At 41.0% G+C, this 19,711-nt stretch overlaps 1 protein-coding gene across 3 annotated transcripts in view; it reads right to left on the bottom strand.

Annotated features, from left to right (window-relative positions):
• SMYD2 (SET and MYND domain containing 2) overlaps positions 1-19,711 on the bottom strand; it is a 55,973-nt gene that overhangs the window by 35,419 nt on the left and 843 nt on the right. The gene's annotated exons all lie outside the window — the stretch shown is intronic.

Below are 19,711 nucleotides of genomic sequence, written 5' to 3'. Positions count from 1 at the left end.
ATATATTACTGAAATGAATGAAGTGAGCCTGTCACTTCCAGGAAAACAACACTTGTTGCCAATGATAAAATTTGAGTTTTCAAGCAAAAATTAGCATTTTGGAAAACATAGATCTGCCATCCTAAGCTTGACAGCTTCTCAATACTGAAGACTTATCTGATGAGACTAGTGGTAATATTAAGAATTATGATTTTTTGATATGGTTTGATAAAATGAGTCAATTTTCAGGAGATCTGTACAATCTAGGTAACTAATATTTTCCAAATGGCCAATGACACTGTTTTAAAAGCAAAAAAGTCATTCCAAGTGCAAGGTAAACCAATGGATTTTATGTCATTGAGTACATAAAGTTCACAATATGGCTTCTGATTGCACATCACAACTTTTAAGACAACATCAATTATCAAAGTTTACTGATTAATCAAATAAGAACATCCGCATTTAACTGAGAAGGGTATCGAAATACCCTTCTCTTACCAATTACGTATCTATGTGAAGCTTTATTTTTGCTACATAATCCAACTAAAACATAACATGACACACTGAATTCAGAAGCATATTTGAAAATCCAGTTGTCTTCTATAAATCCAGACATTAAAGAGACTTACAAAAATTTAAAACAAAAACACTATTCTCAGTAATTCTTTTGTTTTGGAAGATATTTCTCACAGAAAAATGTTAGCATAATAGTTGTCATTTTAAAATGAATAAACCTTCATAATTTTCTGTTTAACTTGACATATGATACATAATGATTGCTATAACTCATATAAACAAAAGCTCTCTGCGGTTCTCAATAATTTTTAAGAGTACAGAGGGACCCTGAAACCAGAAAGTTTGAAAACTGCTGATCTATTTTAGTAATCTCATCAGGTCTAAGAAGAAGCTATTATTATTCCTATTTTTCAAATGAAGATAATGAGGATCTTAGACATGAAACAACTAATCTAACATGGTCATTCTGCAACTAGGTGGCAGAATTGGAATTCACACATTTTGTTTCCATCACGCCGAAGCATCCTTCCTTGAGTGCTGTGACAATGGTTCAGGAGGGTAGACTCCACGCAGCAAAAATAGTCTCTCTACGTGAGTGGATAAGCTAATAGTAACAACAAAGCATAGGAGAGGCATGCTTTACTCTGGTCTGCATAATGCCCCGGCTCCAGTGGTATCCCATTAATGTCACTTTGCTTTAAAGATGCAATGGGGAGGGGATCCAGGATCATTTTTCAAAATGAGATATGGGGAGGGAACATCCGCACAGAAGAGCGTCTCTCAACCCATTGTGCTCCAGGAACCCATTTCACTTGAAACAGATTGTAAGAAAACAAGGATTGATGTATTTATTGTGTACATAGAAGGTCCCTCCTCTCATTCAGTATCGTGAGCCTACATGTTTCTCCAACAGATCCTGGGAGAGTCCAAGCTGGATCATGTGCTCTAGGAACCTGGTGAGAGAACACCGCACTCCTCACTAAAAACTGAAAAGCTTTGCCTGGCTCTAGGGAAGATTTTACTACATGTATGCTCAGTGAACCAAATACCTGGTTATATGTAAATTTTCTTTTAAAATAATAATTTCAACTTTTATTTTAGATTCAGGTTTGCTGCATAGGGATTTTGCATGATGCTAAGGTTTGGAATATAAATGATACCATCACCCAGGTAGTGAGCATAGTGCCCAATACATAGGTTTTCAGCCCTTGCTCCCTCCCCTCTCTCCTTCCTAGTAATCCCAGGGTCTGATGTTGCCATCTTTACATCCATGAATACCCAATGTTTAGCTCCCACTTCAAAGTGAGAACATGGCTGGGTGTGGTGGCTCACGCCTGTAATCCCAGCACTTTGGGAGGCCGAGGAGGGGAGATCACGAGGTCAGGAGATCAAGACCATCCTGGCTAACACGGTGAAGCCCTGTCTCTACTAAAAACACAAAAAATTAGCTGGGCGTGGTGGCGGGCGCCTGTAGTCTCAGCTACTTGGGAGGCTGAGGCAGGAGAATTACTTGAACTCGGGAGGCAGAGGTTGCAGTGAGCCAGGACAGCGCCACTGCACTCCAGCCTGGGCAACAGAGAGTCTGTCTCAACAACAACAACAAAGAAGTGAGAACATGAGGTATTTGGTTTTCTCTTTCTGCATTTGCTTAGGATAAGGGCCTCCAGCTGCAACTATGTTGCTGCAAAAGACATAATTTCATTCTTTTTTATGACTGCATAGTATTCTATGGTGTATATATATATATATATAATGTTTTCTTTATCCAGTTCACTGTTGATGGGCACATAGGTTGATTCTGTGTCTTTGCTAGTGTGAACAGTGTTGCAATGAACATTTGAGTGCATGTGTCTTTTCAGTAGAACAATTTATTTTCCTTTGGGTATATACCCAGTAAAGGGATTGCTGGGTCGAATGGTAGTTCTGTTTTAAGTCCTTTGAGAAATCTCCAAACTGCTTTCTACAGTGGCTGAACTAATTTATATTCCCACCAACAGTGTATAAGCGTTCCTTTTTCTCCACAGCCTCACCAGCATCTGTTATTTTTTAATTTTTCTGGAGACACGGTCTCAATCTGTTGCCCAGGTTGGAGTGCAGTGGCATGATCATGGCTTGTAATTATGGCTGCAGCCTCAAACTCTTGTGCTCAAGCAATCCTCTCACCTCAGCCTCCCAAGTAGCTGGGACCACAGGGACACACTACCATGTCCGGCTAATTTGCTATTTTGTAGAGATGAGGGCCTCGCTATGTTGCCCAGGCTGGTCTCAAACTCCTAGTCTCAAGTGACCCTCCTGCCTCAGCCTCCCAAAGTGCTGGGATTACAGATGTGAGCCAGTATGCACAGCCACATCTGTTATTTTTTGACTGTTTAATAATAGCCATTTTAACTGATGTGAGATGGTTTCTCATCGTGGTTTTGATGTGGATTTTTCTGATGATTAGTGATGTTGAACATTTTTTCATGTTTATTGGCCACTTGTATGTCTTCTTTGCCCACTTTTTAACGGGGTTACTTGTTTTTTGCTTGTTGAATTAACTTCTTCACAGGTTCTGGATATTAGACCTTTGTCAGATGCACAGTTTGTGAATATTTTCTTCTACTCTGTAGGGTGTCTGTTTGCTCTGTTGATAGTTTCTTTTGCTGTGCAGAAGCTCTTTAGCTTAATTAGGTCCCACTTTCAAGTATTGTTTCAACTGCTTTTGAAGACTTAGTCATAGTCCTTTGCCAAGGCCAATGTCCAGAATGGTATTTCCTAGGTGTTCTAGGATTTTTACAGTTTGAGGTCTTACATTTAAATATTTAATCCATCTTGAGTTAATTTTTGTATAAGGTAAAATGTAAGGGTCCAGTTTCATTCTTCTGCATATGGCTAGCCAGTCATCCCAGCACCATTTATTGAATAGGGAGTCCTTTCCCCATTGCTTATTTCTGTTGACTTTGTCAAAGATTAGATGACTGTAGGTGTGCAGCTTTACTTCTGGGTTCTCTATTCCGTTCTGCTGGTCTATGTCTCTGTTTTGTAACCATACCATGCTGTTTTGGTTACCATAGCCTTACAGTATTATTTGAAGTTGGGTAATGTGATGCCTCTGGCTTTGTTCTTTTTGCTTAGGATTGCTTTGGCTATTTGGGGTCTCTTTTGGTTCCACATGAATTTTAGAAAAGTTTTTTTCTTATTCTGTGAAAAATGACTTTGGTAGTTTGGTAGGAATAGTGTTGAAATCTGTAGATTGCTTTGGGCAGTATGGACATATTAACAATATTGGTTCTTCCAATCCATGAGAATGGAATGTTTTTCCATTTGTTTGTGTCATCTCTAATTTCTTTCAGCAGTGTGAATTTTCTTAACATAGGTCTTCTTGGGCCAGCTTGCCTTCAGAGCAGAGAAGAAAAGCTAACAGTTTTTGATAGCTACTGTTACTGATAGTGAATAACATAAGAATCGCCTTTGATCTATTTTGGTTTAAGCAATTCTAGATGAGGTGGTGGGGTGGAGGCGGGGATGAAGCCCTGTTTAAATTATTCAGATATGTGCTGCAGTTCTTTCCAGAGCTAGCGAGAGATTTAAACTCTTCATAAGTCTCATGGCTGAAATTCAAACTAAAACTTGCTGAGCTGGTACCTGCACTGTGTATGTGCAGTATATGTGCTTGAGAGAGGAGAGAGATCCTATGAGTGTTCGACTATTGCTGACTGAGGAGTTACAGCCAGAGAGAAACTTCATATGGGCTATCCATTTTCGCTGTAGGACTATACAAAGCATTTGGAACAAACTCCGTTCCTACAAAAGACACAGTCGTAAATTTTTCATTTGCAATGTAATCTGATCTGAATTGTTCAGGAAGTCTGGGAAAAGACTGAGCAAAATAAAGAAAACAAAATTTCCTTAAAAAAAAAAAAACCTGAAATAACCCCCAAAGGAATGGAGCGAAAAGAAGTGTAGAGTGAATCACTAATAACCTCTCACAGTGGTTCTCAACCTTGGTTGTCTGGGGCAGGGATCATCAGTTCTCATTCAATTGGTATGTGTTGGGCCCAGGCACTAGGACTTTTAGAAAGCTCCCAGGAGATTCCAGTGTGCTTCTAGAATGCGGAGCCACAGGCCTATGGTAACACATTTGGGTGGAGTGGCTTTTTCGTGTGGAAATTGCTGTATACAGTTGAAGCACTCTGCAAGGCAGATTGTTTAGATTTTTCTGAGATTCTTAAGAATGAATCACAGGATGGATCAGGTTGTTTAACTACCTTGATGATGAACATTTACATAAGAATAAAGTAGCTGACCCTGTCTTTTTCTAACCTAAGATCAAGTATCCTAGAAGCAGGTGCAAGTTTTAAGAAAGAAAACCTCAGCTTTCGTTCTGCTGCTTCTTGATTCCTGTCTCACAATTTAGGATGAATATGATGAGTTACTCTTCCCACTTCCCTCTCTCAAATCCTTTTTTCTTTCTGGTACTTGATGTACTATGTGATCTTGGGCAAGTTACTAGTCCTTTCTGAACCTCAGTTTCCTTCACTGTCAAATAAAGATATCGTTTCCACCTCATAGGTTTGCTATGAAAGTTAAATGAGAAAATGCAAGCAAAACATTTAATACATTGCTTAGAACACTGTAAACGTTCAATAAATGCTGGGTACTACTACACTTTTAATTAGTCTTTGTGCTTTTTTTTTAAAGTGATGTCAACTGTTGAAATACCATCAGCACAGTCTCACTCAGACTCATAGCTAGAGGATCTATGTTTCTAAAGCCTTTGTTTTATGGGCAAATATCTACCCTACTGTGAACAGAAGGGCTCTTTGAACTTAAGAAATAGTTCTATCCACAAAGGAAGAAAAGAAATGTTACAGGAAAATGCAAGTATTTGATTATTACTGACTGGAACAGAACTTAGAAGACACGCTCCTGTCATTTCCTACTGGAGGAGACACACACAGTGATTAATTTCCTTGCTTTTAAAAATCGGAAACCATGAAGATCAACAAGTTAGAAATGTAATTAACAACTCCTGCTAGTTAATGCGTTGCCGCAGGTGCTGTTGGTCTAGATCAAAAGGATTTGATTCTGTAAGCTCCCTACTTTCTGCTACTGAAATGAATGCTTAGTGGGTTTCACCATGAAAGAAAATGATACTGGCATAGAGGGGGTTTGCAATAACAATTACTTTTAACTAATGGTGACAGAAGAAGTGACAAGTATGCTCTGTTGAACAGAGGCAGCCCCAGCCAAATGAAAAAGAGAATGGGAAAAAAGCCCCAGCAGTGCAATATAACTTCACCATAGGTTGAAATAAGACAATCAGAAACAAAGTTAGCCTCCCACCCAGCGAGGGTGGTTATACTAGCAAGGCCTCCAATCTTGTTTAAGAGAAATAAAAATTGGAGGAATTGTGGCAGAACCCTATTATAACCCTGGTCAGGGGACAAGGATAATACTCAGGCTACAGGTTTTTCTGTAATACTGAAAGGTGCTCCATACATCACTTTAATCCACAATGTAACAGTGAACGGGACCCACGTGCAGCGGGGGGCTTCTTCCCAGGGCTGTGCTGAACCTTCGCTCAGCACCAGGCTTTGTTCTGAGGCTTGTTAAAAGTTAGAGCCCGCATCCTCTTGGGGAGGCAGGAAATATTTAGGGCAGTAAGGTAGCAACTAATAGGTTTTCCCAACTATTGGAACCGGAGCTGTAATTTACAAGGAGGAAGCTGGGCTTGGTGGTCAGAGTAATGGCTGACCTAGTTATAAAATAACACAGATTTGTTTTCATGCAGGCTCTGGCCCAGACAAAATTTACCTTTGCCTTAGAAAGCAAAAAAAATTCATGAAGCTTATGAATATAGGAGAGAAATATTTAGCCTGTGAAACAGTGAACATTACATTTCCTTTTCAGCCCCTGGACAACACCTATATCCGAAGCTCCTCTTGTAGGCCCTGCACAATCTCTAACAGTTAAAGCTCGTCCAAAGAATGAATGTACACACTTTTAAAATCTCATGTTTTCCTCTGGAAATGCTCTGTCTTAACTTTTGTGCAAGGTCAGAGTAACACTTCCTTGCTACTTTTATCTTTACTTCTCTAATGCCCTCTGATTGAAAAGTCAAAAGCAAAGAAACAACGAATGCCTTTCTAACTCAGTTCTCTCATAAAGGAACTGACAATAAAATAATATCCACCGCTTCTTCCAGTTAAATGACAGATGTTACTATTAGTACTTTGTAATGAATACCAATATTATTAGATTCCCCTATGCTTGCTGTTGCATAAAACTCACGTGATTAAAAATCAAAGAAAATGACAAAACCAAAGTAATATAAATTTAACTACTTGAAAACTTAAAATACTCCTAACAGTATTCCTCACTTCAACGTTCTGTCCGTAAAACAGAAATAAACCATGGTAAAAATTCCTTTATAGTCTAATGCTAATTGTGAGTTCCCAGAACATGGTCAGGTCTGCTGCAGCAAAACATGTGTTAACTACCTGTCCAGACAGAACTGTTCTGAATCTTACTTACAGGAAAATGTGTGTTTTTTGTTTGTTTGTTTGAGAGAGGGTCTTGCTCTGTCACCTAGGCTGGAGTGCGGTGGCACAATCTTGGATCACTACAACCTCTGCCTCCCGGGTTCAAGAGATTCTCCTGCCTCAGCCTCCAAGCAGCTGGGATTAATTACAGACATGAACCACCACGCCCAGCTAATTTTTGTATTTTTAGTAGAGACGGGGTTTCACCATGTTGGCCAGGCTGGGCTTGAACTCCTGTCCTCAAGCCATCCGCCCGTCTTGGCCTCCCAAAGTGTTGGGAATATAGGCGTAAGCCACCGCGCCTGGCCTGGAAAATGTTATCTTTTTAATTGCCTACAGAAGAATTTTAAGAGTTGAGATTCTCTCATCCCCTCAGTTTTATTTTCCTGCAAACAAAATATAAAAAATTGAATTACCAATTTGTTTAGGCGAATTACCCCGAATTGTGGACTTTACCTTGAAAACTTAAACTGATCGGATACCGTTTGAACAGATTTAGCAGACATTTTTCTTTCAATCCTTATTGATTCCATTTGTATTTCTCTGAACGGAGAACATTTTTAATACTGTAAAACCTTGCACATGAGGCAGTAAGAAGACATGTTAATCTATCATAGCTAAGTAATTTCTATTCAAAAGTGTTATTTGCTAGGTACAAAAGTACTGTGCTACAGCCATACTGGGAAATAATATTTTTGTTAAAAAAAAAAAAATGAGTGGCTGGGCACGGTGGCTCATGCCTGTAATCCCAGCACTTTGGGAGGCCGAGGCAGGCGGATCACCTAAGGTCAGGAGTTCAAAACCAGCCAGACCAACATGGAGAAACCCCGTCACTAGTAAAAATACAAAATTAACTGGGCGTGGTGGCGGGTGCCTGTAATCCTAGCTACTCGGGAGGCGGAGGCAGGAGAAATGCTTGAACCTGGGAGGCGGAGGTTGCAGTGAGCCGAGATCGCGCCATTGCACTCCAGCCTGGGCAACAAGAGCAAAACTCCATCTCAAAAAAAGAGTTATTTGGGGAAATCTGCCCTGCCTACATGAGAGTGGTAAATATAAATATCAGGCAAAATGATTCAGCATCCAAATGGCCCACACGACCTGGAACTGAGAGCAGAAAGCTACCCCTAGGACTGAGCTCTTTGAAGATACAGAAGTTAGGGAAATAGCACTTACTGAGCATGTTGTCTTATTCATCTCTGAAACTCCACAGTGAGAGCACAATGCTTGGAATAGTAGGATGTTCAAAAAATGTAAATATTAAATTATTGTAAAATAAATACAAACAAGTCGATAAATAAAATGAAAGCTGTGTGGGCTGAAGTAGTTAAGAAAAAGCTTTGGACCGGGTGCGGTGGCTCATGCCTATCATCCCAGCACTTTGAGAGGCCAAGGTGGGTAGATCACCTGAGGTCGGGAGTTCGAGACCAGCCTGGCCAACATGGTGAAACCCCATCTCTATGAAAAAATATAAAAATTAGCCAGACGTGGTGGCAAGCGACTGTAATCCCAGCTACTCAGGAGACTGAAGCGGGAGAATCGCTTGGACCTGGGAGGCGGAGGTTGCAATGAGCAGAGATCGTGCTATTGCACTCCAGCCTGGGTGACAGAGAGAGACTCTGTCTCAAACACACACACACACACACACACACACACACACACACACACACACACACACACACACAAACAGAAAAAGATAAAGCTTTGGAAAGAGATGCAATTTGAGCTGGATCTTTCTTGAGTATAAACAAACTGAAGGCTCTAAGGCCTTACCTAGGAAGGAGGCAGAGGATAAGGAAGGAAATATTACAGAGAAAAGTACTCTAGATGACAAATAGACAATAGGAAGAATGAAGAATGACATTCTTCAGCTTTGCAAAGACCACCCAAATTGAACTTGGAGTCTAAGTCAAAATGCAGTGAGGGATAATGCTGGATACGATGGGAGGGGCACTTAGTAGGGAACTTGTCCTGAAGAAAGCAGGGAGTCAATGAAGAGTTCTGAGAGTATTTACAAGGATTCATTTCCAAGAATGAACAGTTGCATATTAAGAGAGGTGATGAGGCCTATGCAAAGGGCCACTAGTAAGATAAGATGCAGAAATGAGACTAATATATTTCGCAAATATTTATTGCAGTAACAGAGGCTAGTCTTCTTGCTAAACGCTGGGGTTACAAAGATGAGTAAGACCTAGTTCATGCATTCAAGGAGCAAGTGTGATAAAGGAAGTTTGTATGAGGTGCTGTGGGAGCAAAGACGAAGGGAACTAATCCAGACTGCAGAAATCAGGACAGATTTCTCAGAACCAAAGGAGTGAGCCAGGCAAAGAGGGACATAGAGAGGAGAATCAGCAAGGTGCATATATGTGTGTGCATGTGTGTATATGTGTGCATTCATTACTATAAACAATTTAGGATGACCAGAGTGAAAATAACACAGCAGAGCAAGCTAGACTCAGATATGGCTCCTGAGGCTTGGCCTGAGGGTGTCCATCAGGAAGCCCCGACTCTACCATGGAGTTCTATCAGGGGCGTCCTCAGATTCACAGACAGAGAAGATCAAGAGAGGTGGGCTTCTCTCTCTCTCTCTCTCTCTCTCTCTCTCTCACCCTAGAAAATATTTAGTAGCTGAGTGCCTTGTAAAGCTGGAACATGTGCAGAAATCAATTAAATATTGGATGAAATAAATAGATTGTTCCTAAATCCCTACTTCCTTGTTAACCTGAATGTTTTAAAGTTAAAAAACAAACAAACAAACAAACAAAAACCCTAAAGGTTTTTTTAGAGTGCTGTTTAAAATATTTACTCAGGTGTATGGGTAGGCCATATTTCATTAACTTCTAAAATATATCTACCCAGAGCTGCTGCTATTTTAACCAACATAGGGATGTTGCCAATTCATTGGACCTAAGTAGTATCTGATCGAAGCTCTCTCTTAGTTTGTGTCAGTCATGAGACAGGGTGTTGTAGTTGTAGGACTGGAAAGATGTGATGTCTTTCCTCATCCATCATAAGGGTCGTGGCCAACACCCCTGGAAGAAAAGACATACTAGCAAGATAAAAACATAACAAATGTATTTAGTCAAAGTTTTTACGTAAAACAAGAGCCTTCAAAATGAGAGCCCAATAACTCAAGAACTCAAGGAAAACTGCCTAGTTTTATGCTGAGGTTCAATGAAGAATGGACAAAAGGGTATGAGCTAATAATGGTAATAGACTGAGGGGCAGGGTAGGTCACAGAGTCTTCGCTTCTGAGGCCCTTCCAACCCCCTTCAGTGGAAAGTGCTCTGTATGCCAAAGGGCCAAACTTCGGGGTATCATTTTCTGAGTCCCAACATGGTTAAACATTCTGGTTAACAGAATGTTCTTCATGACATACCTGGATGACCAGAAGAAAGAAAAAGAACAAATCTTCCTGCCTTTTATACAGCATCTGCTGAAGCCTTACAAAGTTCAAGGAACTGGAGGTAAAATAAAGATGAATAAAAGCTGGAAAATAAGCTCCGTGGTGGTAGGGATTTTTGTTCCTTTTCTTTGGAGTTGTTTTCCAGAACTATAGAACCCACTAAGTGTCCACAAATACAAATGTTTTTGATTGAGTTAAAAAGTAGAATTCCTACCCTTAGGGAGTATACTATTGGCTCATAATTAAATGTGTCTTATTGGTGAGGTTTTAAGAGCATATGAGGCTATCACTGTGAACAGCAACTGTCACTGTACCATGGATTCACGGAATTGACAGAGAAGAGATTTTTCAGGTGGCAAATGAGCAAATGTTTCCTATCCAAACATCACCAGAGTAAGAAAAATCCCCATCTCATCAAAAATATGAGCCAGTACCTACATCCCTGAAGAGTCTTTCTTGGTACTCAGATTAAACAGAACACAGATTTCAACATAACTCCTTCCAAGTGCCAAGACATAAAATCCTTGAGCTTTTTATTTGGCTCTAATAAAAACCTGTATCTTTTTGGACAGCCAGATTATCTTACCACGTCCCTCCCCCAAGATACATTCAGGTCTTCAAGCCCTGTGTGAATTTCACTTCTCTAGGGAGTTGTCCTTGTTTCTCCTCTCCTCCATGGTGACTCCGCGTCCCCTGGGCACCAACACACCCTGAGCATCACAGTGCACTCACTAAGACACAACAGTGTCTTTGTTATTATAGCACGCATTCATTTTTATCTCTAGGGACTATAAACTTGCCAAAGATAAGCACTTATGAATTCTCAGATCCACTTTTTCTATAAAAGCTAACCCAATCCATTTTAATAACATACATACAATATTTCCACTTAGTCATCCGAAACCTTCCACTTCATGTACAAGAGTCGCTAGATTTTATGTTAATAAATTAACACAAGGAGTTCCACGCTATTTTTAAATTTTTGATTGAAAAAGAATCTGAGAGACACAGCTGGATTCTCAGCGAATGTACGGACTAGAAAGATAAGTTGTTTCCTGAACCTTCAAGACTTTTTTGTATTATTTTCCTGCTAAATTGCATATTTCTGTCCTTCAGAGAAGTCTTGAAGAGATCTGATTTCCTTCTGTTCTATTGTGTTGGTGTGAACGCCTTTGCAATTGAATAGGAAGCCGCGGAGGGTGGCAGGAACAAGTCAGCAGAAGTTACACAAAGTGAGGTGTGTGCTTTGTGACTGGTTAGAGCTCTAATGAGGCCAAGGTCATGGGTTCAACCCCTGAAAAGGCAGGTACTTCAGTTAATTCCCTGCCAAAGGACTGCACCCCTAAACTACTGCAGATTTCCTAGAAATCCAAAGAAGTGAAGGTTGGGGATGTGGGTGGGCTAACAATGCAAGTTCCTGAGAGGCAAAGGAGACCTCAAAATGCCCTGCCTCCCTCAAGTGTCAGAACAGGCCACTCATCAGGAGGAAGGGGCCAGTGCAGGGGCCCCTGCCCTGACACAGCCACAGAAAAACGCTGAGTGAGCAGGAGGATCAGAAGAGAGCTCAAGGTCTGAATCTGCCAAGTAAAATCAGGGTGCCTTGTTCTAGGTGTGTCTAGTTCCCTAGTGATCATCAGGACACACATACACATGTATTCAAAGATACGTAACCAAACCCATAGAGGAGCTGTCTGTGAGAAGAGCAGGAAATGAGAGGGAACATTCTGAAAAATCAAATTTGCCTTGCATATACCAGATAAAAGCATGCCTTGAACTCAGAAGTATGATTACCTCAACTACATCTGAGGTCCAAAAAAAGATGTGTGTGGATGGGGGGAGTCAATTTAATTATTCATGACTCCAGGAAGACAAAGCATGCTTTTAATTATTGATTGCTTCCTTCGAGGACAGAAATAAAGTGGCATAAAACAGTAATTATTTCATATTTTTATACTGACAGGGAAAAGAGGAGGGAATATTAACCTAAGTTCAAAGCAGTAAGCCTAAAACACCCAAATACAGTAGAAACTTCCTTTGCAATTCTCTCACTATATCAAATCCTAAAAGAGACAATTTTGCTGTCCTGAATTCTCACCAATTCTGAGTTCTCCCAAAGACCAGGTTCCTGCCAAACTATAGCAGTGAGCCCTGGATCTTCTCAAAGAAATTTAACATATTTTTACAAGAACCTTCTCACAGGTGGTGTGCAACTTGCCTGTTCTACAGGAATACCAACCAGGGGCTGCCTCCTATAGCTGCACCATAAATTCCATTTCCACAACTCAAGAGATTTAACTTCTGCAGAGAGAGATCCTGAAGAATGGATTTGCTTAAGGAAAAAAAAAAAAAAAAGACTATGGGCTGATGCTGCCCTATCACACGGCACAGAAACAAACTCTTTATATGTAGGTATAAAGGCTGAGATGACTAACTCTGGTTTAGTCCTAGCGTAATATTAAAAATATTCCAAGCCTACAAAAGGACCAAAGCCTCATGTTCTTTTTATGTTTTATTACATAATAATTCATACATATAAAAGAATATGTGTAGCTCTTATGCAAATTTCAAAGCATTATAATAAAAACAACATGTTTAAGTCCATATCAGCATAAAATATAGATCTAAGATGGCTGAATCAAACATTTTTTAAAACTTTAAATAATTCTTTAAACAATGCATTCGTTTGTTAAATTGTTGGCCAATTATAAATTCTATTCAATCAAGGAGATATCAGAGACGGATTAAGCCCCCAGTCTCCAGGGAACCACACAGTAGTAATGTAGGGTGAAGTCCCTGGGTGAACCACACAGTAGGTTCAGGCCAAAGGGGGGCACAGGAAGATCACACGAGGAACAGGGAGATTTGGCTCCATCCTTGAAGGTCATGGAGTCCGGCCTTTAAGAGGCACTCAATAAATATTTGACAAAAAAGGTGTGAAATTCAGAGAAACCACTTAACTTCTCTAACACTCAGTTTCTTTCTATGTAAAATGGAATAAGGCCCTGTGTATACCAGCCATCCTTGGAAGGATCAAAATAAGAATGTATCTGGAAATGCTTTATGGGCTGCAAAGAGCAATATGATTTAAAGAAATGCCATTTTATACAGGTTCTTCGAATTTTTTTTGATTGAGAGGATTCTGTGCAATTGCTTCGGGAGGGAAAGGTGTTAGATGGTGGTTTTAACTCACCAGGGTTTGAATTTCACTTCAGGATATCCTGCTGTTATTCTGTCTCTTTCATCTGAAATCGGTTCCAAACGTGCAGCTTGGTCACTGAGCCCCTATAAGCTATAACAGAAATTATGTTCCCCGCATATGAAAAATAACGTGAGTTACTGGCACATTTGAAGTCTTAAAGGATGGCTCCTTGCTGCTGTTGAAACAATTGTGCTGAAAGTAAAAGGCAGAAGGAACCCTGATATCCTTGCAATGTGGAAAATTCTGTTTTCTTCCATTTCTCTCTATAAATATTTGTTTTTTCTTATTAAAAGAATATTAAAGTGCCTAAGACTTTGGAGTGAGAAAAGGCTCTTTTTTGAAGAAGGTTTACCTGTGTAGGTATATTATATTATTTCCATTAGGTTTTGAAAAATACTGAAAACTAATCCCAGACCCCATCATTAATTCTGGGGAACCCAAGGTTGAGAACTGCTGGTTGTGGCTATGGGTCAACAGGCCATCTTTTTTTTTTTTTTTTTTTTTTGAGACATAGTCTAACTCTGTCTCCCAGGCTGGAGTACAGTGGCGCACTCTCAACTCGCCACAACCTCCACCTCCCGGGTTCAAGCGATTCTCCTGCCTCAGCCTCCCAAGTAGCTGGGATTACAGGCGCCCGCCACTATGCCCAGCTAATTTTTGAATTTTTAGTAGAGATGAGGTTTCACCATGTTGGTCAGGCTGGTCTCAAACTCCTGACCTCAGGTAATCCGCCCGCCTCGGCTTCCCAAACTGCTGGGATTACAGGCATGAGCCACCGCGCCCAGCCAATAGGCCAGCTTAATGGTGACTCCACTGGTCAACAATTTCCAGTATTTCCTTCCCAGTGTTCACCCCTCCCCACAACTCCATAAAAACGCCCCTAAAATTATAATATTTTATCACACAATTTAATTAAGTTAGAAACATTTAGCCAGCAGAGTTCATCAAACAAGTATGAGATCAGGCCAGGCGTGGTGGCTCATACCTGTAATCCCAGCACTTTGGGAGGCCAAGGCAGGTGGATCACCTGAGGTCAGGAGTTCAAGACCAGCCTGGCCAACATGGTGAAACACTGTTTCTACTAAAAATACAAAAATTAGCCAGGCATGGTGGTGCATGCCTGTAATCCCAGCTACTCACCAGGCTGAGGCAGGAGAATCACTTGAACAGCGGAGATTGTGCCATTGCACTCTAGCCTGGGTGACAGAGTGAGACTCCATCTCAAAAAAAAAAAAGAAGAGAGATCAGAGTGATTTTGATGGCTCACTATGTGCTAGGGTTGTACTGACTTAGCTTGGTTGGTAGGGTGGGTATTCATACGCTTTTTTTTTTTTTTTTTTTTGAGATGGAGGCTAGAGTGCAGTGGCGTGATCTCAGCTCACTGCAACCTCTGCCTCCTGGGTTCCTAGGTTCAAGCCATTCTCCTGCCTCAGCCTCCCAAGTAGTTGGGACTATACTACACCTGGCTAATTTTTGTATCTTCAGAGGAGACAGGGTTTCACTGTGTTGGCCAGGCTGGTCTCAAACTCCTGACCTCGAGTGATCCATCTGCCTCAGCCTCCCAGAGTGTTGGGATTACAGGTGTGAGCCACCATGCCCAGTCCACACTTTTTTATTTTTTTTAAGAGACAGGGTCTCACTTTGTCTTCCAGGCTGGAGTAAGTGATATGGCTTCCTGCAGCATCAACCTCCTGACTCAAGGGATCTTCCCACCTCAGCCTACCCAAGTGTAGCTAGGACTACAGGCCCAGGCTACCACAGCTGGCTAAACTAAATAAAATTTTTTTTGTAGCGAATGGGGTCTTGCTATGTTGCCCAGGCAGGTCTCAAAATCTTGGCTTCAAGCGATCCTCCCACCTCAGCCTACCAAGTCCTGGGATTAACGGCACTGGCATTAGTACGCACATTTTACAGATAAGGGAACCTGGGAGTTCAGAGAGGTTAAGTGATAACTGGCCTAAAGACAAACCATCAGGAAAGAATGAAACCAGAATTCAAACCCAGTCCACCTGCCACAAAGTCCCTGCTTTGCGGTTTCTACTGAAATAAGGTCATGCACTAACAACATTTTAGTCAATGACAGACCACGTGAACAAAGGTGGTCATAAGACTGTGATACCATATTCTCACTGTGCCTTTTCTATGTTTAGATATGTTTGGATACACAAATACTTACCATTGTGTTACAACTGCCTACAGTATTCAGTACAGTAACATGCTGTACAGGTTTGTAACCTAAGAGCAACAGGCTATACCATACAGCCTAGGTGAGTAGTAGACTCTCTCACGTAGCTTTGTGTAAGTACACTCTAGCATGCTGGCACAAGGACCAAACTGCTTTACTAAGGCAGTTCTTGGAACATATCCCTGTCATTAAGTTATGCATTAATGTACATGGAAACCTTGAAATACTGAAAGGTGGAAAGTGAAAACAGCCATTTCCTTACCTAACATACAGATAGCTGAATTTTGCATTCTTTAATGGCACTTTTTACAGGAAATCTGTTGTATGTATGTTTTAGTCTTACCACCTATTTTATAAAAATACATCTAAAAAAGAAGGGGAACCCCTTTATTAGAGCATGTATTCAATTTTTTTATTCAGAAAACATGATGATTTAAATACATCTGAAGCCATTTCTCCCCCAAAACAACTCTCAAAGCATTCTCAGGAGAGCCAGAGTCATAGCAGTCCTGGGCACAAGGTCCCCTTCTCATGCACAGCTTCAGGCAGCCAGAACCAGGGCTAGTTCAGAGAACTTCAGGAAAACAGCATCAGGATTTCATGGCCCTTAATACTGATTAAGATCAACTAAAAATTATTCTGCCGGTTTGATAAAACAAGAGGAAAGCTAAGATGAATACGCTAGAGAATAAATCTGGGGGACATGAGGAAAAAAAGCCTTTATAACTGCTGAAATAGGACACCTTAATCACAGGGTTTGGCTCAGGCAAACAATTTAATTTTTAAAACAACTAATCTAAGCCAGACATGACCGAAATTCACTGAAACTGGGTTCTAACAGCTCTATTCCAAGGAGGCTAAATGGGCTTTCCTGGTTCCCCCTACACTCAGAACAAACAAAGAAATGTCAATAATCTCATCCTTAAATAACCCATGAGCCAAGAGAACTAAAGATCAAAAGGGAGACTAAAGATCAAAAGATCTGCCTACCTGAAGAATGGCACATAGAATGAATATTTAGATGGAACACTGGGTTAAAGCAGATTTCTCTCCTTCTGAGACAAATCACATTGGGGGTTAAAATATGTCTAGGCCAGGCACGGTGGCTCACGCCTGTAATCCTAGCACTTTGAGAGGCTGAGGTGGGTGGATCACTTGAGGTCAGGAGTTCGAGACCAGCCTGGCCAACATGATGAAACCCTGTCTCTACTAAAAATACAAAAATTAGTCGGAAATCACTTGAACCCGGGAGGCGGAGGTTGCAGTGAGCCAAGATCGTGCCACTGCACTCCAGCCTGGGCAACAGAGTGAGACGAGACTGTTTCAAAAAAAAAAAAAAGTCTAAAACTTAGTTTAAAATACAACATACTTGGCCCGGCGCAGTGGCTCATGCCTGTAATCCCAGCACTTTGGGAGGCCGGGAGTTTGAGACCAGCCTGACCAACATGGAGAAACCCTGTCTCTACTAAAAATACAAAATTAGCCAGGTGTGGTGACGCATTCCTGTAATCCCAGCTACTCGGGAGGCTGAGGCAGAGGAATTGCTTGAACCGGGGAGGTGGAGGTTGTGGTGAGCTGAGATCACGCCACTGCACTCCAGCCTGGGCAACAAGAGCGAAACTCTGTCTCAAAAAAAAAAAAAAAAAAAAAAACCACACCAAAAAATGGTGATAAATGGCCAAAATGTGTATGTGTGCATTTATGTGTGTATGTGTGTATAAAGTGTATCTGAGAAGTCTGATAGGGACAGCTTCCAAGTGGAAAAACTTTATATAATATTATTAGGAGCTGCCTTCTAGCAGTTCAGGCAAGATACGCATGTTCTCCAATGGCACCCACCAGACTGAGAAATGTGATACAAATTAAAAATTCCCCAAAGCAAACCTTTGTCTGAATTGCCCTGACCGTAAGAATCCCATTCTGTTGAGACTTAAGACATTTTCCATTATTTCTCAATTTATAGCATATACTTATTCCTACCTAAAGAAATCACTTTTCTTTTCTTCAAAAAAAGTTAGATCCTGATACAATTAGTATGACATGGAAATTCTTGGGTCATTCATTTATCTTAAGCAGTATTGTTTATGTTAAACTTCTGGCAAAAGAAAGGATAAGGGGTAGCTTTCTTTTGGGTGTGTGGAGCTGGGGCAGGCAGCAGATTTTGACCTGTAAGTATGAACATTTCCAGAATTCTACTCCTATACTTTGAGGCCCTATGGAGGAAAATACACGTTCCCCTCATACATCTGGACAGACTGATTTGTCCTAAGTCATATACAAATTGCTGACAGAGGAACTGATGCTGAATCTATCAGATGACCTAACCACTAATAGTAAATGATTCAGATTTAATAGAAATCATGAAGTAGGGTACAAGGATATTTCTAATTGCATAAGTATCATGGATATTATTTCTTTTGTATTATTTTAATTGACTTCAAATAATTCTTTGGGGAGAGAGAGGAAATAAACTACGGGTATTGACATAAGGTCAGGGAAATCAAACAGAGAAGTGGTTTGCAAGTTGTAATAACACCCCATTGCAAGTTGCAGCCCTGGTGAGGGACCCAAGGCAACAGTGAGTAACACTAATAAATGTCAATCAGAAAAATTTAACAACAAAAGAGGCAGCAAACTGTCACATATGGCAGAATAATCCAGGCTGAATGCTTTGTGAACTTGCATCTGACCATCCATTAATGTTCTAAGGTTGGGGGTATGCGTAGTAGATACAATTAGGAGACTTAAAGCTAAAGAGAAGCATCTCTCAGTTCTTCTCATCCCTTCTAAATCCAGAGGGATTTGATCTTTCATTCACTGGGGGCCAGGGCTGGCAACTACCCATATAAAGTAAGCACCTACTATGTGCCTGGCATCCATGGTCTTAGGCGATGGCTTCCAGGAATTGCCAGGATCCCTGATGGAGGCTCCTTCTGTGCTGCCTGACCTGCTTTGCTCCTGCCACTGCAGACACCCACGCTGCTGCAGACTCCGAGCCACAGCAAGGCTCAGAAGATCAAGGGACCAGTCACAGCAGCCTTTTTAACTTTGGGAAAACCCAATGCTCACTTCACTCAAACGTTGCAAAGTGGTGCCATGACCCTTTAGCTCTTGGCTCACCAATTCAAAGAGCCACATCACATACAGCCCTTAAGCTGCCCACGGCATGATTCCGTGTCTAGTTCCTTTCCAGGTCCCCCCAAGCGGAAGACAGTTCTGGCAGGGAGTCTGGGCAAGATTACTACAATATTTAGCCTTTGTCCCTTCTTTTGCTACGTCTTATTGTAGAATGAGGCACACAGGTCTGAGAGATTGAGTATGCTGGACTTGAGACCTGTACTCAAAAGGTCCCTGCAGGACCGCAGGTCAGCTTAATCCAGCCCAGGAATCTCCATTTCAAAGATGAAGAAACTGAGGTTCAAAGAAAGCAAATCATGGTCTCTACTCAGAGTACTGGAAGGCCTGATATAAACTTAACCCCAATGCCATGCCTCCTGCCTTAGTAAATTTACTGAGCACCTAACCAGTGAGAAATAGGCAGAAGTGAATAAGGCCAGATTTCACTCCCTTCACTACTGGTGTGAATGGATAAAGGTAACTCCACTTTCTCTCTGGGCTTTAGTTTTCTCATCCATTAAGTGAAAGACAAGACTGAATTGGTGATTTCTAATGTGCCTTTAAGCTCTGAAACTCTCATAAGAGTTGAGGATATAATTATGTGTTGGTGTGTGCAAATGTATATGCATCATATATACAAACACAGACACATATATACATATGGTATCTTACAATTAAATACCATTAGCAACCACACATCTTGCCCAATCCCTTCCTGCGACCATGTTTTCCTAATCCCAAACCGAAACTGGACACTGCAACTCATCGTCGCAGCACCTCAGAATCCA

The sequence above is a fragment of the Homo sapiens genome, chromosome 1 (assembly GCF_000001405.40).
Source record: "Homo sapiens chromosome 1, GRCh38.p14 Primary Assembly".
Classification (NCBI taxonomy): Eukaryota; Metazoa; Chordata; class Mammalia; order Primates; family Hominidae; genus Homo; species Homo sapiens.
Note: the sequence above shows the minus strand (reverse complement) of the source record. Positions and strands in the feature narration are given on the sequence as shown.